The 24,898-nt window shown below is 44.9% G+C and overlaps 1 protein-coding gene across 4 annotated transcripts in view, besides 1 other annotated feature; it reads left to right on the top strand.

Moving 5' to 3' along the window:
- Nucleotides 1–22,632, top strand: part of DSCAM (DS cell adhesion molecule) — an 836,160-nt gene extending 813,528 nt beyond the window's left edge. For 2 of the 4 annotated variants that reach the window (NR_073202.3, NM_001389.5), the window contains exon 33: nt 20,245–22,632. Coding sequence is in view for 3 of the 4 variants with exons in the window: in NM_001389.5 (NP_001380.2) it covers nt 20,245–20,597 (353 nt within the window). In the remaining variant the exon portion in view is untranslated. The remainder of the gene's footprint in view (nt 1–20,244) is intronic. The other 2 variants (NM_001271534.3, XM_017028281.2) reach the window with 2 other exon arrangements.
- Nucleotides 4,644–5,143: an enhancer, noted in NCBI's record as "H3K4me1 hESC enhancer chr21:41400415-41400914 (GRCh37/hg19 assembly coordinates)". NCBI's record gives its function as "activates a minimal SCP1, AML or CMV promoter by ChIP-STARR-seq in primed H9 embryonic stem cells {active_cell/tissue: H9 hESC(primed)}" and the evidence as "EXISTENCE:reporter gene assay evidence [ECO:0000049][PMID:30033119]".
- Nucleotides 22,633–24,898: the final 2,266 nt, after the last annotated feature.

The raw sequence follows: 24,898 nt of genomic DNA, 5'->3' as shown, positions 1-24,898 counted from the left end.
TCTAAGCAAGCCTGGGCAATGGGGGGCCCCCCTCCCCCAGCCTCACTGCCGCCTTGCAGTTTGATCTCAGACTGCTGTGCTAGCAATCAGCAAGACTCAGTGGGTGTGGGACCCTCCAAGCCAGGTGCGGGATATAGTCTCGTGGTGCGCCGTGTTTTAAGCTCGTCAGAAAAGCGCAGTATTCGGGTGGGAGTGACCCGATTTTCCAGGTGCCGTCCGTCACCCCTTTCTTTGACTAGGAAAGGGAACTCCCTGACCCCTGTGCTTCCCGAGTGATGCAATGCCTCGCCCTGCTTCGGCTCGCGCATGGTGTGCACACCCACTGACCTGCGCCCACTGTCTGGCACTCCCTAGTGAGATGAACCCGGTACCTCAGATGGAAATGCCGAAATCACCCGTCTTCTGCGTCGCTCAGGCTGGGAGCTGTAGACGGGAGCTGTTCCTATTCGGCCATCTTGGCTCCTCCCCCCCAGGCACAATACTTTCTAAAGGCACCTTGAAGCCTAAAAGAGCCCTTCTTATACTCTGAGGTATCTCACCACTGAAACTGGTTACATACATCTGTATTGGGAATTAATGGATAAGGGTGGAACAAATGAAATGCATTTCTGGGGGCCAGATATTCCAAAGCAGTTTGGGGTAGCCTTCTTCCTCCTCCTCTGCAATGCTTTGTTAGTTGGAGGCTGTAAACATGCCGATGCTTTCCCAAATTTGTGGGAATGAATGTGAATCACAGTTTTTGGGGCTTCAATCTCCTCTGCGGACACATAAAAAGGAACTTTCATCAATTTCTAACAAGGTTTGAGATCTATGCCTGGATAGAGCTGGATATTGATGCAAAAGTAAGAAGCAAAAGATGATTTCCTTGAGTTCCAGCAATTTCAATAAAAAACACAGAGACCAGACTTGCAACAACACTATAGTGTCAAAGAGCTGGTTCCCAAAGGGGAGCATAGAGTCCACCCATACCAGAGACAGACGAGATCTAACACTTTTTGAGTTTAATATTAATGTTGCAGCATGGTAATGAAAACTAGTAAAAGAATCTCTCTTGGTAAATGAATCTTCACTCCCAAACGGCAAGCAGGAAAAACCCTAAATAAATAATGTGAGATTGATATCAGAGGCCCATGTGCAGGGACTCGATTACAATTCTTGGCTTGTACTCAGGGGCCCTCATGCATTTTTTAAGAGCTCATCAATATTGTGATCCTTCTGCTTGCTGGTGAACTTTAAAAACTACACCGAGGTATAAAAGTAGGGCTTTGACTTTGTTGAGGCTTATGATTCTTCTCAAATAAAGTAGATCTGAATAAAAGACGGATTGGAAAATCTTCCCTGGCCTTTAGGCAAGCACAGAACTTAGCAGTGGTTTTGGAGCACCCACTATGGAACGATCCATGAGATCCAAAGATGGATACAGTTCCCACACAACAGCCACAAGGAACCACACATTGGGGACCACCTGAAGCAGAACCCTAGCTGGGGGCTTGGCCTTGTTCTGCCATGAAGCTGACAGAGCTGTTTCTACAACAATGTGCATCTTGAATCATCCCACAGAAGGAGCTGAGTTAGGCTGGAAATGAGAGAATTCCAGACAGAGGGAAGGTATATTTGTGGAGTTGTAGGAGGCCAGAAAGTTGAAGGCTGGAGACTAGGGGCAAGGTTGGAGGCTGGAGACCAGGGGTCAAGGCAAGGAAGACAAGGCTGACCCCTCAGACGCTAGTAAGTCTCTACTGTGAGAGCAGCAGGAAGCCATGGAAGGGGGTTAAACAGAGGAAGGTTGACTCTTACTGGAAATGATGGCTTGTCTCCCATTTCTGGTTTGGGATACAGGATGCCTTAGGCCCTGGTGCCAGCAGAGTGTACAGGAGGCCACATTGGAAGACGATGGTCTTTGCTGTCTTCTTACCTTTCTGTATGCTCCCTGGGCCTTCGTGTGGCTTTAGCTTCTCACAAGGCCTCACTGGGCTGTGTATGTGTGTGCGTGTTTGTGTGTGTAGGTGGTGACTGACCATCTTCTATGAGCTGGGCTTTGTATTATTTCTTGACCTTCTCAAGATTTGCCTGTCTCATGTCTTCAGAACCCATTGCCTGCAGTCTTTGATACACACTATTCTGATAAATGAATGAGACTGTGAGGAGTGTTAATTTAAGATATTAACCCTTTTATGTGTTAGGGTAATACCCAGTGTCTTTTTACTCAGGAGATATTCAATCAGTAGGGATTCAATACACGAGTGTCGTATATTTGTGTTTTAACCGGGTCTGTCTGAGATGCAGTGAACGTTCAGTTAGCCTGGGCAGCCTTCTTTCTTGTCATCTGTAGAGCTGGAATCTGGGAGCTTCCTTCTGGTCACTCAGCAGGGACAAAGAGGCCTCTACCCCCACATCACTGTTCTCTAAGGTACATGCCTCCCCCATCACTTTCCACCTCTCGAGGAACTGGCACAGCCCAGGATTTCGCAATGATTAGAACTGAACCCCAATAAGCTACCCAAGAAAAACAGTGAGCCTTTTAAGGGGCTCAGAAGTCAGACAAGAGAATCAGAACACAGGGAATACATGTTCTGGAACAAGAGGACACAAACACCAGCTTAGCAACTGCAGCAAGTACAGTGAACCAGCCAGACCACCGGACAAGGTCAGAGGTACAGGGGATGGCCTCTTGAACACAGTGGCAGGAGGATGGTTGCAGGGTAGTGGCTGCAGAAGACCCCATGTACATACATGCTAAGCTTTTATTTCAGGCAAAGGGCTTAGAGTTCTAAGCTTGAGAACCCCTCAGAACAGGTCCTACTGTCACTTTCTGAGTCTGAGGGAGAGTTACTAAGAAGACACTGAAATTCTATAAGAGCCCTTAAGAAGCTAAAATTGCAAATACTCCTCAGAGAGACCTGGATTTCCAGCAGAAATCAGGATTAGCACATGCCAATATTTAGGTCGACATCGAGTGGGCGTGAACAGCAGTATGTGGAGGCTTTGTTGGATGGCCCCAGGGTTCTTTTAACCTAAAATTCTATGGGAGTGTTTGAAGGGTCGTAGTTCAGAGGGAACTCTTGATCCCTGTTGTGAACGCCAAGCTCATTCCTATCTCCTGGCCTTTATCTTTGCTCAGCTCTCTGGACCACCAGAAGGATCTTTGCAGGGCTCCTTCCATCCCATCATTTACGTCTCATTGCCTGAGAGGCCTTTCCGGGCCATTCTTTCCAAAATACTCCCCTCCCACGTTTTATCCCCTTCCTGGATTTGCTTCTCCACCCAGCACTCACCACAGTCGGGAACGATACTATTTGTTTGTTTACTTGATCAGTGGGGATCTCTGTGGGTCTTGTCTATCAATCACTGCATCCTCAGTTCCCAAAACAGGACCAGTCATTTAGTGTCCACTCAACACACGCATGGCAAAAAAAGACAGAGGAGCAGGGAGGCTGAGAGGGAGGGAGCAAGCCTTCCTCTAGAAGGGTGGAACGCAGAGCAGTGCAGTGAGAATGTGTGTGTGCCTGTGTGTATCCATGCATGGGAGCATGTGCTTATGTATCCACGTACATGTGCATGTGTGTCAACATATATGTGTCCATGCATGTGTACTTGTGTGTGAATGTGTATGTGTGCACGCATGTGTGTGCGCAAGCACACGTGTAGGCATCAAAGAGACTTGCATTTGAAAGGAGACCCTTAGTATAATATTTATGATAAACATTTCAAAACTGAGTTTTAGTGATGTGCAGAACAGAGGAGGAAGATGCAAGCCCCGAGGCTTGGCACCCCAGCTGCCTGAGCCAAGTCCTCAGGCAGTGAGGGAGATATAGGTAAGTGAAGCTGGGGGTGGGGGTTATTTAGCTCTGAAGATTGGACTGCTGGTGTCTTGTTTTGATTTCAGAGCCAACATGACAGATACCCAGACTTCAGAGAGGGAAAACAGCATGGTCAAAATGACAACTGAGAATACGGTGGCCAGCCTTGGTCAGAATAGTGCTGACCTGTGCAGAGGTAGGCTCTTTCTTCAGGTAAGGGCTCCTGGCCTCTCTGCATGCCTTGGGGCCCGCCTCCTACTCTCCACCCTCACACCCTCAGGAGAGAGTGATGCAAGATGAATGGATCCTAAAATTAAAATCCAGTAACTCTTTCGAATTACTGGCAATTTAGTGAATTAACAAGTTGGCACCAGGCAGTGGCCTTTTCCCACTAAAAAAAAAAAAAACAACCTCAAATGCATTCCCCAAGGAAGGGGCTGAAACTCATAACCTTGTGTCTGGGGCCCAGAGGGCATGAGCACAGAGATCCAAAGGGGCTGATGCTTTCCCTACCACTAGTGGGGCAGGCTGTGTTAGGGTGCATGTCTGAAACTTGAAACTGAATTAAGTAGCTTCATGTAATGGCTTCTCTTGACGGCACAGGATAAACATCATAAGAAGAAGAAGCAGTAATCCAAGAAGGTTTGCAACTGGCTCAAAATGCTACCTGAAACCAAGAATTGGAAGCCACCTTGACCCAGAGGAAAAAAAATTGTTAAACTTTGCAGCTATTTCTCAAAAGAATAGAGAATTTTGTTTTCTGTTTGTAGAGATGGGAATAGTCATCCCTTATGGAAGAAGACAATAATTTGCTGCATTTTTAGGACTTGTAATTGTACAGGCAAATTCAAAATTCAGGTAGCATTAAAATTACAGCTAGATAATGCTGCCTGCTTTGTGGATAGCTATCCTCATTTCAAGGGAGAGCACCCCTTTATCTGTTGAAGAGATGTCTTTTTGATTTGCTAAGGGCAAGAATGGAAAATAAGTGCGAATAGGAACAGCTCCGGTCTGCAGCTCCCAGCGTGAGCGACGCAGAAGACGGGTGATCTCGGCATTTCCATCTGAGGTACCGGGTTCATCTCACTAGGGAGTGCCAGACAGTGGGTGCGCACACTGTGCGTGAGCCGAAGCAGAGCGAGGCATTGCCTCACTCGGGAAGCACAAAGGGTCAGGGAGTTCCCTTTCCTAGTCAAAGAAAGGGGTGACGGACGGCACCTGGAAAATCGGGTCACTCCCACCCGAATACTGTGCTTTTCTGACGGGCTTAAAACATGGCGCACCACGAGATTATATCCCGCACCTGGCTTGGAGGGTCCTACGCCCATGGAGTCTCGCTGATTGCTAGCAGAGCAGTCTGAGATCAAACTGCAAGGTGGCAGCCAGGCTGGGGGAGGGGGGCCCGCCATTGCCCAGGCTTGCTTAGGTAAACAAAGCAGCCTGGAAGCTCGAACTGGGTGGAGCCCACCACAGCTCAAGGAGGCCTGCCTGCCTGCCTCTGTAGGCTGCACAGACAAACAAAAAGACAGCAGTAACCTCTGCAGACTCAAATGTCCCTGTCTGACAGCTTTGAAGAGAGCAGTGGTCCTCCCAGTACGCAGCTGGACATCTGAGAAGGGCAGACTGCCTCCTCAAGTGGGTCCCTGACCCCGGACCCCCGAGCAGCCTAACTGGGAGGCACCCCCCAGCAGGGGCAGACTGACACCTCACAGGGCAGGGTACTCCAACAGACCTGCAGCTGAGGGTCCTGTCTGTTAGAAGGAAAACTAACAAACAGAAAGGACATCCACACCAAAAACCCATCTGTACATCACCATCATCAAAGACCAAAAGTAGATAAAACCACAAAGATGGGGAAAAACTGGAAACTCTAAAAAGCAGAGCGCCTCTCCTCTGCCAAAGGAATGCAGTTCCTCACCAGCAACGGAACAAAGCTGGACAGAGAATGACTATGACAAGCTGAGAGAAGAAGGCTTCAGACGATCAAATTACTCTGAGCTACAGGAGGACATTCAAACCAAAGGCAAAGATGTTGAAAACTTTGAAAAAAATTTAGAAGAATGTATAACTAGAATAACTAATACACAGAAGTGCTTAAAGGAGCTGATGGAGCTGAAAACCAAGGCTCGAGAACTACGTGAAGAATGCAGAAGCCTCAGGAGCCGATGCGATCAACTGGAAGAAAGGGTATCAGTGATGGAAGATGAAATGAATGAAATGAAGCAAGAAGGGAAGTTTAGAGAAAAAAGAATAAAAAGAAATGAGCAAAGCCTCCAAGAAATATGGGACTATGTGAAAAGACCAAATCTACGTCTGATTGGTGTACCTGAAAGTGATGGGGAGAATGGAACCAAGTTGAAAAACACTCTGCAGGATATTATCCAGGAGAACTTCCCCAATCTAGCAAGGCAGGCCAAAGTTCAGATTCAGGAAATACAGAGAATGCCACAAAGATATTCCTTGACAAGAGCAACTCCAAGACACATAATTGTCAGATTCACCAAAGTTGAAATGAAGGAAAAAATGTTAAGGGCAGCCAGAGAGAAAGGTCGGGTTACCCTCAAAGGGAAGCCCATCAGACTAACAGTGGATCTCTCGGCAGAAACCCTACAAGCCAGAAGAGAGTGGGGGCCAATATTCAACATTCTTAAAGAAAAGAATTTTCAACCCAGAATTTCATATCCAGCCAAACTAAGCTTCATAAGTGAAGGAGAAATAAAATACTTTACAGACAAGCAAATGCTGAGAGATTTTGTCACTACCAGGCCTGCCCTAAAAGAGCTCCTGAAGGAAGCACTAAACATGGAAAGGAACAACCGGTACCAGCCACTGCAAAATCATGCCAAAATGTAGAGACCATCAAGACTAGGAAGAAACTGCATCAACTAACGAGCAAAATAACCAGCTAACATCATAATGACAGGATCAAATACACACATAACAATATTAACTTTACATGTAAATGGACTAAATGCTCCAATTAAAAGACACAGACTGGCAAATTGGATAAAGAAAGAGTCAAGACCCATCAGTGTGCTGTATTCAGGAGACCCATCTCACGTGCAGAGACACACATAGGCTCAAAATAAAAGGATGGAGGAAGATCTACCAAGCAAATGGAAAACAAAAAAAGGCAGGGGTTGCAATCCTAGTCTCGGATAAAACAGACTTTAAGCCAACAAAGATCAAAAGAGACAAAGAAGGCCATTACATAATGGTAAAGGGATCAATTCAACAAGAAGAGCTAACTATCCTAAATATATATGCACCCAATACAGGAGCACCCAGATTCATAAAGCAAGTCCTGAGTGACCTACAAAGAGACTTAGACTCCCACACATTAATAATGGGAGACTTTAACACCCCACTGTCAACATTAGACAGATCAACGAGACAGAAAGTCAACAAGGATACCCAGGAATTGAACTCAGCTCTGCATCAAGTGGACCTAATAGACATCTACAGAACTCTCCACCCCAAATCAACAGAATACACATTTTTTTCAGCACCACACCACACCTATTCCAAAATTGACCACATACTTGGAAGTAAAGCTCTCCTCAGCAAATGTAAAAGAACAGAAATTATAACAAACTGTCTCTCAGACCACAGGTCAATCAAACTAGATCTCAGGATTAAGAATCTCACTCAAAATCGCTCAACTACATGGAAACTGAACAACCTGCTCCTGAATGACTACTGGGTACATAACGAAATGAAACCAGAAATAAAGATGTTCTTTGAAACCAACGAGAACAAAGACACAACATACCAGAATCTCTGGGACGCATTCAAAGCAGTGTGTACAGGGAAATTTATAGCACTAAATGCCCACAAGAGAAAGCAGGAAAGATCCAAAATTGACACCCTAACATCACAATTAAAAGAACTAGAAAAGCAAGAGCAAACACATTCAAAAGCTAGCAGAAGGCAAGAAATAACTAAAATCAGAGTAGAACCGAAGCAAATAGAGACACAAAAAACCCTTCAAAAAATTAATGAATCCAGGAGCTGGTTTTTTGAAAGGATCAACAAAATAGATAGACTGCTAGCAAGACTAATAAAGAGAAAAAGAGAGAAGAATCAAATAGATGCAATAAAAAATGATAAAGGGGACATCACCACCAATCCCACAGAAATACAAACTACCATCAGAGAGTACTACAAACACCTCTACGCAAATAAACTAGAAAATCTAGAAGAAATGGATAAATTCCTCGACACATACACTCTCCCAAGACTAAACCAGGAAGAAGTTGAATCTCTGAATAGACCAATAACAGGATCTGAAATTGTGGCAACAATCAATAGCTTACCAACCAAAAAGAGTCCAGGACCAGATGGATTCACAGCCGAATTCTACCAGAGGTACAAGGAGGAACTGGTACCATTCCTTCTGAAACTATTCCAATCAATAGAAAAAGAGGGAATCCTCCCTAACTCATTTTATGAGGCCAGCATCATTCTGATACCAAAGCCAGGCAGAGACACAACCAAAAAAGATAATTTTAGACCAATATCCTTGATGAACATTGATGCAAAAATCCTCAATAAAATACTGGCAGACCGAATCCAGCAGCACATCAAAAAGCTTATCCACCATGATCAAGTGGGCTTCATCCCTGGGATGCAAGGCTGGTTCAATATACACAAATCAATAAATGTAATCCAGCATATAAACAGAGCCAAAGACAAAAACCACATGATTATCTCAATAGATGCAGAAAAGGCCTTTGACAAAATTCAACAACCCTTCATGCTAAAAACTCTCAATAAGTTAGGTATTGATGGGACGTATCTCAAAATAATAAGAGCTATCTATGACAAACCCACAGCCAATATCATACTGAATGGGCAAAAACTGGAAGCATTCCCTTTGAAAACTGGCACAAGACAGGGATGCCCTCTCTCACCACTCCTATTCAACATAGTGTTGGAAGTTCTGGCCAGGGCAATTAGGCAGGAGAAGGAAATGAAGGGTATTCAATTAGGAAAAGAGGAAGTCAAATTGTCCCTGTTTGCAGATGACATGATTGTGTATCTAGAAAACCCCACTGTCTCAGCCCAAAATCTCCTTAAGCTGATAAGCAACTTCAGCAAAGTCTCAGGATACAAAATCAATGTACAAAAGTCACAAGCATTCTTATACACCAATAACAGACAAACAGAGAGCCAAATCATGAGTGAACTCCCATTCACAATTGCTTCAAAGAGAATAAAATACCTAGGAATCCAACTTACAAGGGATGTGAAGGACCTCTTCAAGGAGAACTACAAACCACTGCTCAACGAAATAAAAGAGGATACAAACAAATGGAAGAACATTCTATGCTCATGGGTAGGAAGAATCAATATCGTGAAAATGGCCATACTGCCCAAGGTAATTTACAGATTCAGTGCCATCCCCATCAAGGTACCAATGCCTTTCTTCACAGAATTGGAAGAAACTACTTTAAAGTTCATATGGAACCAAAAAAGAGCCCGCATTGCCAAGGCAATCCTAAGCCAAAAGAAAAAAGCTGGAGGCATCACACTACCTGACTTCAAACTATACTACAAGGCTACAGTAACCAAAACAGCATGGTACTGGTACCAAAACACAGATATAGATCAATGGAACAGAACAGAGCCCTCAGAAATAATGCCGCATATCTACAACTATCTGATCTTTGACCAACCTGAGAAAAAACAAGCAATGGGGAAAGGATTCCCTATTTAATAAATGGTGCTGGGAAAACTGGCTAGCCATATGTAGAAAGCTGAAACTGGATCCCTTCCTTACACCTTATACAAAAATCAATTCAAGATGGATTAAAGACTTAAACGTTAGACCTAAAACCATAAAAACCCTAGAAGAAAACCTAGGCATTACCATTCAGGACATAGGCATGGGCAAGGACTTCATGTCTAAAACACCAAAAGCAAAGGCAACAAAAGCCAAAATTGACAAATGGGATCTAATTAAACTAAAGAGTTTCTGCACAGCAAAAGAAACTACCATCAGAGTGAACAGGCAACCTACAAAATGGGAGAAAATTTTCGCAACCTACTCATCTGACAAAGGGCTAATATCCAGAATCTACAATGAACTCAAACAAATTTACAAGATAAAAACAAACAACCCCATCGAAAAGTGGGTGAAGGACATGAACAGACACTTCTCAAAAGAAGACATTTATGCAGCCAAAAACACATGAAAAAATGCTCACCATCACTGGCCATCAGAGAAATGCAAATCAAAACCACAATGAGATACCATCTCACACCAGTTAGAATGGCAATCATTAAAAAGTCAGGAAACAACAGGTGCTGGAGAGGATGTGGAGAAATAGGAACACTTTTACACTGTTGGTGGGACTGTAAACTAGTTCAACCATTGTGGAAGTCAGTGTGGCGATTCCTCAGGGACCTAGAACTAGAAATACCATTTGACCCAGCCATCCCATTACTGGGTATATACCCAAAGGAATATAAATCATGCTGCTATAAAGACATATGCACACGTATGTTTATTGCGGCATTATTCACAATAGCAAAGACTTGGAACCAACCCAAATGTCCAACAATGATTGGATTAAGAAAATGTGGCACATATACACCATGGAACACTATGCAGCCATAAAAAATGATGAGTTCATGTCCTTTGTAGGGACATGGATGAAATTGGAAATCATCATTCTCAGTAAACTATCGCAAGAACAAAAAACCAAACACCACATATTCTCACTCATAGGTGGGAATTGAACAATGAGATCACATGGACACAGGAAGGGGAACATCACACTCTGGGGACTGTAGTGGGGTGGGGGGAGGGGAGAGGGATAGCACTGGGAGATATACCTAATGCTAGATGACTAGTTAATGGGTGCAGCACACCAGCATGGCACATGTATACATATGTAACTAACCTGCACAATATGCACATGTACCCTAAAACTTAAAATAATAAAAGAAAAAAAGAAAAGAAAATACTGCTAAAATACATCCAACTCAATACTTTTGGTAAATATTACTTGTTGCTAATAAAAAGTTTAGATATAAGAAAAAAAAAAAGAATGTATTGTGCCTCATTCATTTGTCTAAAGGCAAGAGCACCAAGGCTCAAAAGGGTCACAAAACTACCTGGAGGCAGAAGCAGAGGCAGAGACAGGATTTCAACACCAAGCCCTGCACTCTGTAACTACTGCTCTTTCCACTGGAATCAGCTCCTGCCTCAGCGGGTGCCAATGGAGAAAGACCTGGGGGTTTTGCCTTCTGATTACAGTTCCATTGGACCATCTCTTATTTTCTTCCATGAAGAACTGAGGTCGTAACTCCTTGTGGACTAGTATTCTGAGGCTGAGGGGTACAACTGCTTATCCTGGTTGAATTCAATGCTTTATAAGTAGAATTAAAGTGAAATAAGGAACACTTGGCCTTATGAATTCTGATCATCTAAAACAGAGTTTCTCAACAGCAGCACCGTTAGTATTTGAAGCCAGATCATTCTTCGTGGCAGGGGCTATTCTGAGCATTGGATGATGTTGAGCAGCACCCCTGGCCTCTGACCAATAGGTATCAATAGTGTCACCCTCCCCTGTGTTATGACAATCAAAATGTCTCCAGACTTTGCTACATGTCCCCTGGGGACAAAGCCACCCTCAGTGGAGAGCCTCTGATCTAGTGTTCAGATATTTTCCCCTAGTGTGGTGCCTGGGAGATAGCAAGAACCATAGCAAGAACCATTGTTTGATGATGGATTAATGGAATGCACATCCATTTTCTGAATTGCTTCATTCTTGTTATTTCAGTATTGATTTTGCCATCCTTCTTCCAAGAACTGAAATACATTCAAACCTTGCGTGTGTCTGAATAGATTGAGAAAATTCAGGAAGTTTTGCTTTCCTAGGTTTCAGCTAAAAGGAGGCAGGTTTAGTTCAGCAGTTTTCCCACAGTCAGGCCAACCATGGTTCTAATGCACCGTTAGTGGAGGGGGACAAGCTCTGAGTGTGAATCTGCTGATGGATGTGGGGCCTGCAGAAGGAATCTGTACATTTCAGGACCAGAGGCAAGGAGGAGCTTGTGATACTAGTATGCAAAGTGGTTAGAGAAAGAGAGAGAAATCAATGCTGACCTATTTAATCAGAACTTTTGGAGACATTAATGGCACTGAAGGTCCCCAGAGGGCAGCAACAGAAGGATGAGAAATGAAGCATGATGTCAAATAAGAAAGCAAAATGCTGCAATAATGGGTAAAGCGTCTCATCCTCAAGGCGGAAGTCAAAGCAGCTGCCTGGGTTCCCTCCAGAAAGGCAGTGATGGGTGCAGCCTGTGATCTGCACTGGGTTTTGGTGAGGCTGATGAGAAAAGAATGAGAAATGGGTGCCCCAGTGATGGATGGGCCAGTGGTCCTTGTATGGTGCACACATCTTTAAAGCTCCACAAGGGCCGTTCAAAGTGGGTGGTACACATTTATTCTCATAGTACTCACCTTTCTGGTGCCCTCTTCCTCCACTGCTCCTTACCACTGTCCCAGATGGTTACCATGTTCCCCTTTTCCCTTCTCTATTTGTGACTCTGTCTCTAATTTTTATCTGTCTACCGACCTGCGTAGCTATGTTTCTTTTCTTTTTTTTTTTTTTTTTTTTTGAGACGGAGTCTCGCTCTATCGCCCAGGTTAGAGTGCTACGTTTCTTTCTTTCTGCCTCCCTGTGTGTGTTTCCATCTCTCTGATCCCTCTCTCTCTCTCTGTGTGTCTCTTCCCCTCTCTCTCATCCATCCTCCCTCACACCCCCCCAGCCTTATTCATCTCAGCCTCCCCTGACCCTGGTATGTTCCTGCATCTCAGTCCCTGAACTCAGTTTCCCAGAGCCCTTCTCTGTGCTTGGCCATCTCCACCTTCTCCATCCCTCACCCTCACTTAGGGTCTCTGACAGGAAGGGCATTGGCCTCAGGGCAGAGCACAGTGGGTTCATGGTGTGCAAATCCACCATTACAGCCCAAAGAAGTCAGCAGGGGGACCCTGTCCCAAAGGCCCAGGCAGGACTCTGTGAGCCTTTGTATTCATGCTGGGCCTGGGCTGGAGACACTAACTGGGTTTAGCTCACTGGGAAGGAACCGGCAGTGCGGGCAGGTAGGTGAGCAGGGCAGAAGGAGGGCATGGAAGTGAGTTCAAGCTCAGTTCCTCCTGCCGTCAGACCATGAGCTGGATCCTCCTACCAGCGCTAGTCCTTTCCTTCTCCATGCCTCAACTTCCCCTTTCAGTATGCTGCTCTTCCAGTTAGATTTTCCCTCCCATATCTCTCTCCTCTCTCTCTCTCTCTCACACACACACACACACCACACTTTTCTTGATGTGTATGCCCTGCTTGCTGTCTTATTGCACTCAGCTACCTCTTTGTCCCTCCCCTGCTTCATGTTTTTACCCCTTTTCTATGCCTTTGATTTCGTGGATAGAAGTTTTAGCACAAGGGAAACAAAACAAGGAAAAGAAGGAAGGAAGGAAGGAAGTTAGTTTTCATGTTGCCTGAGACTGGGTAATTTATAAAGAAGAGATTTAATGGACTCACAGTTCCATGTGGCTGGGGAAGCCTCACAATCATGGCGGAAGGTGACAGGCACATCTTATATGGTGGCAGGCAAGAGAAAAATGAGAGCCAAGTGAATGGGGCAACCCCTTATAAAGCCATCAGACCTTGTGAGACTCATCCACTACCATGAGAACAGTATGGGGGAAACCACTGCCATGATTCAATTACTTCCCACTGGGTCCCTCCTACAACACATGGGAATTATGGGAGCTACAATTCAAGAAGAGATTTGGGTGGGGACACAGCCAAACTATATTAGAAGGAAAATAAAGGAAAGAATGGAGGGAATGAGAGAAAGAGATAAAGAGACAGGAGGAAGGGAAAGAAGGAGGGAGAAGGGGAAGGGGGGAAATGTGGAGAAAGGTTGAGGGAAGCAAAGCAGAGGAAGTGAAGTGACACCATAGAGTATGGAAATCATTGCCAAAAATATAAGTGAATTTTGTCATAGCTGGTTTTACTGAAACAAGTACTAAGACTGGGCATTTGCCTTTGCCAGTGTTTATGGCAATGATAGATTTACACACAGGGATGCCGAGGGCATTTGCACCCAGTGGAGGTGAGTACCCATGACATGGTGACCCAATATGGTGACCCTGGAGTTCAAAGCACAAAGGATCCTTGGACTTCTTCTGGATCCCTGCTACTTTTCACTGCATGGGAGAACTGGAGAGGGTCCTGAATGGTAAGCTGTGGGGCAGGTGAGCTGGGGAGTACCAGACACACCCAAGAAGGCCCTGCTCCCTGTGGAAACAGATTCCTTAATCCAGGGAAAGCTTTCACATGCATTATCTAAGTTACTCTTCACCACAGCCCTCTATGCTAGATTCTGCTATTACTCCCATTTTATGGATAAGGAAACTGAGCCCAGATCTAGACCTGTCAGATAAATGCAGGCAATGTTATCCTGGCCTCTATTCCTCATCACCACAATTAAAGCCAAGGGCTGGTTTCTCCCATGTGACACAGGCAGATGGCAGGCAGGGCACTGGGGAATGCTGTGCCAATGTCCCCATGGTCACCACAGTCTCACACATCATGTGTCTCTTTCTGGATCAATAACTGCATGAGTTGTCTTGCTATGTGTAGGCATCTTAAGCATATAGGAGGACAATTAGAGAATCCAGGTCCTCAGAGGCTTTGTTGATGAGCACATGGGCTGGGGTTTTAAAGAACATAAGTGCCTGTAATAACAGAGCTTACCGCTGACTACTCTGGTGCTCTCTTCTCTGTAAGTGCATTAATTATTGAGAGAACTCATTTGCAGCACGCACACAGTTGAAAGGGCTACTTTGGACGCTAATCAGAAAATACACATTGTTGAAGGGAGCTAATTAGAGAATCACACAACTTTGTAGAGCTTTGCCTGAAAAACTGGATCAATCAGAGATATTGGATATTCAGAGATACTTGTCAGACCTGCAATAAACAAATACATGTAGGCATTGCATGTAAAGATGTAACACTGAGCTGTTTCCATTAGGAAGGATTTTTATTTCTCATCTGTCCATTTCAGTGACTGGAGCCCTCTTGATAACTACATCTGAAGTGGGAGCCCCTGCAGGCAGGATGCAGATATTATGAGTCCTATCTTTTGATTTCAAACACGTTTCTTCCTTCCAATCTAAGACCTGCGCATTCTGCAGTCCAGCCGGGACCACAATGCTATTACTTTGTGGAGGTTTAATAAGCCCTGTGCATTCAATGGGGAGTCACTAAAATAGAGATTTATCCCCAAATCTGTTGCAACACATTACAAATATGTCAAGCGTTCGTGATTGAGTCGGGTCTCAGAAAGAGCATGAGGCATTCTTGACCTATATATTTAAAGAACCCTGGAGGTAAATGTCTGTCCCATTTCCTCAAATATACAAACAACATGATAAAAATAATATTGAATAAAAATAATTTAAAATTTAAAATAAATAAATAATAAAATTAACAATTTGTTTATCAGATTCTTAGGAATAAAGACATAATCACTTTCAGGAGATTGAATGTATAAAACTACAAATCGCAAGACTGGTCAATTAAGGTGTATTGATTCACATACAAAAGGATGTTCACATTACAAAAGAATTATTCAATTTTTTCTTAATGACAGCTCTGTTAATGCTTTCATCACTTTTTTTGCAAATAATCCCTGGTTAGAGAAGACTGAAGAATAACTACCATAAACGAACATTAGTAATTTTCAATGCCATCAAGTTTCATAAAGTTTTAAAAACTCAAATTCTTTCAGGAACAAAGCTATTCTATATGGCAAGAGATTCCTGAACCCTCCACATTAGTGTCTATAATGGGTAGGCCTCATGCCATTATATTTTTCTAAGCCAAAGTTCAGATGCATCAAGTTACCAAAACCCTTTTTACAAGAATGCCAAATTATGTAATTCCTTCCTATAAGAATGTTATGGGCCAGGTGCGGTGGCTCACGCCTGTAATCCCAACACTTTGGGAGGCTGAGGCGGGTGGATCACCCGAGGTCAGGAATATGAGACCAGCCTGACCAACATGGAGAAACCCTGTCTCTACTAAAAATACAAAAATTAGCCAGGCGTGGTGGTGCATGCCTGTAATCCCAGCTACTCAGGAGGCTGAGGGGGGAGAATCGCTTGAACCGGGAGGTGGAGGTTGTGGCGAACCGAGTTGCACTCCAGCCTGGGCGACAAGAGCAAAACTCCATCTCAAAAAAAAAAAAAATGTTATGGCCCATTTATTGTCTAGGTATTTATTACTGAGCTTCCCTTGGATCCAGTTGACAGTAGGAAGCCAACGTTGAATTAGAATGCCTTTAATTTCAGTGAGCCCAGTCCAGTGTCGCTGGGGTCATTTAGTGAATTACATGCTGCCATTCCCAGTGAAATCATATAACTACTCATCATCACTTAGTAGAATAAAGATATCCTGAAAAAGCTAAATGGAGTTTTGAATCATAAATCCCAAGTGGTGCAACAATGTAATAACACAATGACAAAGAAATCATTTGCTGCATTTCCCAAAAATAAGGTCATTGCTCCTGTTGTTCGCGGAAAAAAATTTTCAAGACGGGTAATAACATTTTGAAAATTTGTATGCTCATTTAAATTGTATAAAATGCATTTTTAGGGCTTGATTTGGCCATATTTATTTTTAGTTCTCTTATACTTTTTTTTTTTTTTTTTGAGATGGAGTTTCATCCTTGTTGCCCAGGATAGAGTGCAATCGTGCAGCAACCTCCAATGCGCAGGTTCAAAAGATTCTCCTGCCTCAGCCTCCTGAGTAGCTGGGATTACAGGCGTGTACCACCACGTCCAGCTGATTTTTCTATTTTCAGTAGAGACGGGGTTTCCCCATTTTGGCCTGGCTGGTCTCGAACACCTGACCTCAGGTGATCCATTGCCTAGGCCTCCCAAAGTGGGCGGGGATTACAGGCCAGTTCTCTTATACTCTTGAATAGTCCTTTCCTTCTGTTATGCTGGTTGTTCTTTTTCTGTGGGTAAACTTGAAGGTGTTTCCTAAGGTTCAGGCTTTAAACACTGTCTAAACACATATCACTTTCATTGCCCCGCTAGCAGAGCAGCTGGCTAATGGCAGCCCTCACTTGGCTCAGGTGGTCTCAGATCCCCTCAGCCTGCACCTTCGGGGCCTATGGGTCCAAAGGGGCTGGATGAGGAAGGCTCAATTAATTATTGTTAGCATACAGTAACATAAGGAAAGCAGGGGATATTTTGAAGCAAAAGAAACAAGAATGTTCAGTTACTTTAGACTCAGAAAACGAGCAGTGAGTCATCCTAGAGCTACGTTTCTATGATAAAAATACCTACTAGATATCTTGTCTTGAATGTCCCCAGCTGCATCAAACTCAGCAGGTCTGAAACTAAACCCTTCATCTTTTGTCATCAAAGTACGATCTTTCCCCTATACACCCTTTCACAGTTAGTGATTTCACTGTCCACACAGTTTCCTGAGCTTAGAGCCTGGGAAGGAGTCACCCCTAACCCCTTCTCCTCTGTCACCACTCCCACTTGTCATTGACTCTGAAGCCACCTTCCTTGGACCCCCTTCATATCTCACAATTTAATTCCCTCTCTCACATCCCACAGCTGCTCCTGAGCTCAGACCATCATCATATCTCTCTCCCTGCACATCCTTTACCCTGGGCCCTCGCTCCAGGACCACACACCACCAGCCCATTCTCTAGACAGAGTTTTGCACCTGGTATGTCACGAGTTACAGGTGTGCCAAGATGGTGAGTCCTTCAGACCTCAAGGTGGCCAGAAACAGCTCCCTGGGTTCATCCCAGTGTACTGCACAAATACCCCTTGTCTGCCTGTTCCTCAAAAAGTGGGAAGCACTGGGCTGGATAAGGCACACTGTCTGTACCAAAACAGCAGAAACTCAGACCCAGCGTCAGTCCAGCTCAAGTCAGGCAGTGTTGGTTGCAAAGTGGACCTGGTGGCTGGGCCCTAATTGTGCTCATGCTTTGCAAGGAGGTGATGGGATATATTAAAGCCTTGAAACAGGGCCCTGAAGATGGGAATGAGAAGGAGTCAAGGCCAGGTGGCTCATGTCTGTAATCCCAGTGCTTTGAGAAGCTGAGGCAGGAGCATCACTTGAGTTCAAGAGTTTGAGACCAGCCTGGGAAACCAAGCAAGACCCTGTGTCTCCAGAATATTTTAAGAATAATAATTAGCCAGGCATGGTGGTATGTAACTGTAGCCCTAGCTACTCTGGAGGCTGAGGTGGAAGGTTTGCTTGAGCCCAGGAGTTTGAGGCTACAGTGAGCCATGAATGCACCATTGCACTCTAGCCTGGGCAACAGAGCAAGACTCTATCTCTTCTTGTTTAAAAAAGAAAAAAAAAAAAAAGAGTCAAGAGATATTTTGCCGGTAGAATTAACCTGGAGAGAAAGGTGTCAGTGAAACCTCTGAGGTTTCAAGGATGGAAGGATGGTGATAATGTTACACAAGATGGAGCACACAGGAGAGAAGCAGTATTTGGGATTGGGAGGGGATGGGGTTGGCCTTCATTAACTGAATTGGTAGACTGTGGCCTTCAGAATTCCAGATGGACACTCGTGTGGAAATGCCTAGCAAAGCACCTAAAATTCACATCTAGGGCTCAGGAGAAAGAGCAAAATGGAAAAGATAGATGGGAATGTTATTTATAAAGCAATGAGGAAAGCAGCCAAGCCTTCCGAGAGAGGCCTGAGAGCAGGCCACTGAACACTCCGTATTTAGAGGAAAGACAGAGAAAAGGATCCAGTCAAGGAAAGTGAGAAAGGGTGGCCAGAAATGTAGGCAGAGATCTGGAAGACCACAGTGCCCTGGCAGCTGAAAGGGCCAACAACAAAAATATCAACGGCATCAAATGCTATAGTAATGCAGGTAGGAAGAGGACGAAGAGGAAACCAGAGAATTTGGCAATGAGAGGTCAGGGTGACCTTTCAGTAGCTGATGGTGAAAGAAGCTGTGTCAGTTCAGGTTTTTGAGAAGCGCCTAGCAAGACAGATTAGACACACAAGGAATTTATTGGGGAAATTCTTGTGAAGAAGGAAGCAAAAGGAAGCAGGAGGTGGCAAGGAGAGTCTGGAGACCATAACAGAGGTCCGACACCTGTGAGAGGAGAAGGCGAAGGAGGGATTGGTTGGAGGCACGTCAGGCTGCGGTGCACTTCTGAGAAGGCTGCAGTGAGGCTGATGGGGTATCCCTGAGCAAAGGATGCCTGTTAGGGAGATCCTGCATCGGGCGGGGACGGCCATGAGAAAAGCCCTGTCACGCTTGTCATTGGCTTGCAGCATCCCAGAGAACACATGCCTCCCTTCCTGCAGCAGATGCTCTTGGTTTTTTTGTTTTGGTTTGGGTTTTTTGTTTGTTTTGTTTTGTTTTGTTTTGTTTTGTTTGAGTCTTGCTCTGTCACCCAGGCTGGAGTGCAGTGGCATAATCTCAGCTCACTGCAACCTCCTCCTCCCGGGTTCAAGCGATTCTCCTGCCTCAGTGTCCCCAGTACTGGGACTACAGGCGCCCACCATCATGCTTGGCTAGTTTTTGTATTTTTAGTAGAGAGGGGGTTTTGCCATGTTGGCCTGGCTGGTCTTGAACTCCTGACCTCAGGTGATCCTTCCGCCTCGGCCTCCCGAAGTTCTAGGATTACAGGCATGAGGCACACCGTGCCCAGCCAGCAGATGCTCTTGAAGGAGACCTGAGGTTATGTTTGCGTGGCACCACAGAAGCCAGAGTGACCATAAGCAGGAAGTAGAAACACTAGAATTCTGGTCTAAGCTGCTGTCATCTCTATACACAGCATGGCTGAAACAGAAGAGCCACGCAGAAGTTAGCAGGTAGGCAGGGCCTGGTAAGAAGGCCATAAGCTGTGGCGCTTTCACCCAAAGCCATCATGAAGACCCATAACTAAGTGGCTGGCCAAGGTCACAAGGTTTCATAGAATTGCCAGGACGAGAGCCAGCTGTCCATCTTCGCTTGGCGTCCCTGGCTCTCTCCTCAAACCCTGTGCTCTCCCTGTACTTCCAATCACATGCGGGGTTTGGTCTATCACCGTTCGTACCCAGTGGACACTGATGCCTTTGATGTATGTTTTTCTTTCAACGATGGTGTGTTGAAGGATTCTGTTACCTCCATTCCTCCATTTCTGTACAAGTAAGTTAATACAAGTAAGTAAGTACTGTAGGAAAATGAGCTCCTCCCGCGCCCAGGGAGGAGGTAGGAGGACGATTCCACCTGTCTTTGTGGTGAGCGCTGAAGGAGGATCTTGAGAAAGGCACCTGTGTGCAGCGGCATTCTCATCTCTAAAGCCCGCATGGCTTCCCGTGTGCACACAGGACATTCTGCCCATGTTTACCAAATGAAGACACCAACTAACTACCCTGTCTTTCCTTCTAGGTGACCTCATACATTTGCCTCCATACCTTAGAATGGACTTTTTGTTAAACCGAGGTGGTCCAGGCACCAGCAGGGACCTGAGCTTAGGACAAGCATGCTTGGAACCTCAGAAAAGCCGGACCCTGAAGCGCCCCACGGTCCTGGAGCCCATCCCGATGGAAGCCGCCTCCTCCGCCTCCTCCACGAGAGAAGGACAGTCGTGGCAGCCGGGGGCCGTGGCCACATTACCTCAGCGGGAGGGAGCAGAGCTGGGACAGGCAGCTAAAATGAGCAGCTCCCAAGAATCACTGCTCGACTCCCGGGGCCATTTGAAAGGAAACAATCCTTACGCAAAATCTTACACCCTGGTATAACAGACAGCATGACTGGACAGCGGTTGTAAATACAATTCAAACAATTCAATCAAAGCTACCTTTTTTTTACGGAATTCCAATATTTATAATTAAAGAAAATTGCCAAAATATATTAAAAAAAAAAAAGAGAAAATACTGAAACCACAGACAGTGCAAAGACTCTCCTGCTTTTTTTCTGTCTGAGTGTGAGCTCCATCCGCCTGGGCATCTGATTTTTTGGGAAAGAAGTCCAGTTTTATGATCTTCACAGGCTATTGCATTTTTACTGATTTTCTACAAAAGTGCATGGGGGGGATTAATTAAACCTTCTGACTGGAAGTTCTATCACACAAGAGGCAAGAAAGAAAACAGGGTGGGTGGGAAATCAGCCTATTTGTGAATTTAAAAGGAACACCGATTTGCGGGCAGGGGAAAACTTCAGTCACGTTTGCACACCTTTCTTTCCCATTAGAAACCGGGTTCTCAATTTGGTCTTCTTTTGTTGTTAATTAGGATGAGTGCCGTCAGTGAAGGGGTGGGGGGAATCAATTTGGTTTTCTCTCTTGTTTCTTTTTTAATTTAATGAGACACTCTTTGCATTTTGTCTAAGCGAAATAAAAAAGAAAAGGTTGTCTGCCTTTATTTCCATGTCTGCTTCTCTCGTCTTCTGCCAGTGGCCTGGTCCTCCTTCCCATTGACACTTCTGTTTGGAAACACCAGGCCTGAACCCAGAGCCCAATTCAATAAACCAGAGTCGATACTAACACCCTGAACTCCTCAGGAATCTCCAGGAAGCACAAAGAAGGTGCAGCTCCTGCTCTCAAGCTGGAGAGGACAAAATGCAGGCTGGTCTCCACCGCAACCAGAGGCCAGCCCAAGTATTCGAAGCCCGTCGCAAAGCTCTGCCCCTTGCCTGCCCATGGCCAGAGTTCAACTGACTGTGGCCTATGGGCCAAATCCAGCCTCCTGCTGTTTTTTAAATAAAGTTTTATTGAAACAAGGCCACATGCACTATTTGCTATTGTCTATGGCTGCTTTCATGGCACAATGGTAGAGCTGAATAGTTGCAGCAGAGATGGTATAGCCCATGAAGCCTAAAATATTTATTACCTGGCCCATTACAGGAAACATTTGCCAGACCCGTGCTCTGGAGTCTGAAATGTAGCCCCAGCTTGCGTGACAAGGGGCAAGATCGTGCATCTTACCCTCCATGACTTTTCCTATCTCCACTATGCCTGGTATGCAAATTTGTGATAGACCATCTTAATAAACATTGCCTGAATCCTCTGTAACCAGAGGAAAGTGATGTTCCTCTAAAATCTAAGTTTTTACTTTCCTTTCCCTCACTTTATCTCCCATGTGGCTCATCCTAAGAGAGAATTTACTCATAAATAGTCGGAACTGCATTCTTTATCCCACAACCCTCACAGGGTTTGCTTTATGAAAGAGGATGTAATCCTCCCCTGGCTGCAACACTCCATTCCAGGCTCACTTCCATAAAATGGAAAGATAAACAGGTCTTTGTGTCAGAGATTTGGCATTAACCAGAAAACATGATCAAATATCCACAGCTGCTCAGTCTCCCAGGCTGAAGATTCTCTACAGGCTTCCATTAAGGCCACCAACATAGACTGGTGCCAGTTATTACCATCTTGGGAACATATTCAGAAATGTCTTTCCTTCCCTCCCTCCCTCCTTCTTTCCCATCCTTTCTTCCTTCTATTTATTTTCCAGGCAGGCCCATTTGTCTGCTTAGATTCAGTGACACAGAATGGGTCCAGGACCATGTCAAGACCACCTGCTGATGCTAGTGTTAGATGACTCCAGGAATGTGAGGTGTGCATCCATGGTTTCAGAATGTAATCCGTGTTGACGTGTACTGTTTGCATACTCTCAGACTGTTTTTTTTTTATGCAAAAGAAATGTTACTTTCTGGGGGAAAAAATTAAAAGTCTATCTTTCATCAACCTAAAACTTCTATATCCCCCAAACATAGAAGTTTACCTTTTTAACATTTTTCTCTCAACCTGTACAAAAATAAAAAAATTCTACATTATGTCTGCCTCTAGAATGGATTGCTTTCAAGACTCCTGCCTTAAAAATACTCATTAAAATCAGTTTAACACACAAACAATTGTCTCAAAAGATCACCTCCTTCCAGTTCAGATAGGGGTCTATTATTGCTGTCTTCAAGGGGCTGCAGATTAAAGGGTAGTGTATACTAAAACGACTGTTATTGACAGTAATAATAATTAATCTTCCTCTAGACCTCTACCTGTCTGATTTGTTTTGTGGAAGTCACCGTATTAGCCCAAATCTGCACACAGATTATTCTATGTTGGAATGGTGAAACTCAAATAAATTCTCTATCCTCTGGTCAATATCTATAGGGTACATGGACAATAGCTGTTGAATCAGTGGACTGGGTTTCCTCCTCAGCATCCATCTGGCTGGCAGCCTGGAAAATGCCCACCCTCCTGGACTAAGCAAGGCCTTCTCTTAATACGCAGCCAATAAGCCTCGCAGGACTCAGCACTCACAATGTCTCCAGGAGCCTGGTTTTCCATGCCATTCACATCTGCCTGATGCCTGCTATCCTGCATCCACGTCCACCATGTCTACCCTTGAAGAGAAGAAGGTGGAACAGTTGAGATGGGAAAAGATGGACCAGTGCCATGACATGAAGCTGGTTACCAGCTACACCGGATAAGCTTTTATTCCACCCATCATCTTTGGGCCCTTGCTGCAGAGACCCTTGATACTATCTTACAACACAGAAAACACACTGTTGCTTAAATTGCTCTTTACGCAAGCAGGAGATCACCACTCAGTAGAGGTCCCTCTGGTCTGGTGTCAGGATCCCTGAATCACTCATATGCCAAAAGTTTTATGCAACTTTTAAGGACATGGCTGAGGCCTTCTAGAGAAGCTCTGAAACTCTATGAATCAATTTCCAGCAATGACACACAGCCTTCTGAAACTGGGATAAGACTGGGAACCAAAGGACTAGTGTGTTATAGACCACTTACCCACCAAAGGTTCAAAGGAAACTAACAGTTTGTCCATAAAAGTCCTCTTTTAACTTTCTAAAGAACGTGGTAGAGAGTATCTCAGCTCTCTGAGGAGCACCTGGAAAGACTAAATATCCTCAGTTTAATATCCAGGGCACCCGAGGCCCATGTTGCTTCTCCACCCATTATTCCAAAGTGGTCCATGAGAGGCAGCAGAGTGTGGCTGCAGTGAAAGAAAGATTTTCTGCAGGTCTTGGAAACCAAGCTGTTGTAATCCCTAACAAGAGTTTAAGCCAGGAAGGAATCTTCAGGCCTGCATAAAAGCTGTGTCTGTTTGCTGTGGGATGTTTGTTTGCTTGAGGAGGAGACTTGTGATGGCAGGGTCACTGAGTAGCCTGAAGAATATGTGGCAGTGACAAGCCAGAGCTACAGCAGGGTCAGATGGCAACTGCGGACAGGATCCTCGCTGATCTCCTCACCCCCTGGCAAGCAGGGACTGAAGACTGGATAGGCCTGATGCTAACTTGGGTCACCTGAGTGCCATCAAGGGAGTCAGTGTACCTGTGGGGAGACCATCCCCCATGGGTCATTGCATTTGTGCCTGTCTCTTGAGCAGAGGCTTTGATGGTTTCTGTTCTGTGCTGTTTTTTCAAGGATGCTTGCATAGCAGATAGCCTTGGAAGATAGAGATAGTGTCTCCTTGCTGGGCAGAAGGCAGATTTGTTGGCTGACCTAGATAATAAAAACAGCATCTCCATCTGAGGCAAAATTTGGGCAGGTGTACCAGCAACCCCCTTCCAGAGTTTCTTAGGCATTAGACACAGCCAATCAGGAGTCACAGCCTCTCTGGTCTCTGCCTAGAATCTGGGTGGTCTGGGGCAGCCTCCCTCAGCTCCTTCATCTTTGGTCCAAGCTCATCTTTTCAATGAGGGCCTCCATGAGCACCCTATTCAATGCCACAACTCCCCCAGGATTCCTGCCCCCCACATCTGCTTTAGCTCTTGTCCATACCCTTATCATCTAACTCACTCTAGAATTTATTTATTCATAATGGTTATTCTTTGTTGTCTGTCTTTCCTCTCAAGGATGTCAGCTTCACAAGAACATAATTCTTTGTTTTGTTTACTTGTGCCCATAGTTCCTAGAAAAGTCCCTGGCACACAATAGCCATCTTACAAGTATTTGTCGACTGGAAAAAAAAAAGTTTAGGGTTTCCTAAGCTTAGAGCTCCTCAGCTATGACACAAACCCACTGCGTACACAGCATCCACTGGACTGCTCTGCCTCACCCCAAGGGCCCTGCAGGGATGGG

This window comes from Homo sapiens, chromosome 21 (genome assembly GCF_000001405.40).
Source record: "Homo sapiens chromosome 21, GRCh38.p14 Primary Assembly".
In the NCBI taxonomy this organism is placed as follows: Eukaryota; Metazoa; Chordata; class Mammalia; order Primates; family Hominidae; genus Homo; species Homo sapiens.
Note: the sequence above shows the minus strand (reverse complement) of the source record. Positions and strands in the feature narration are given on the sequence as shown.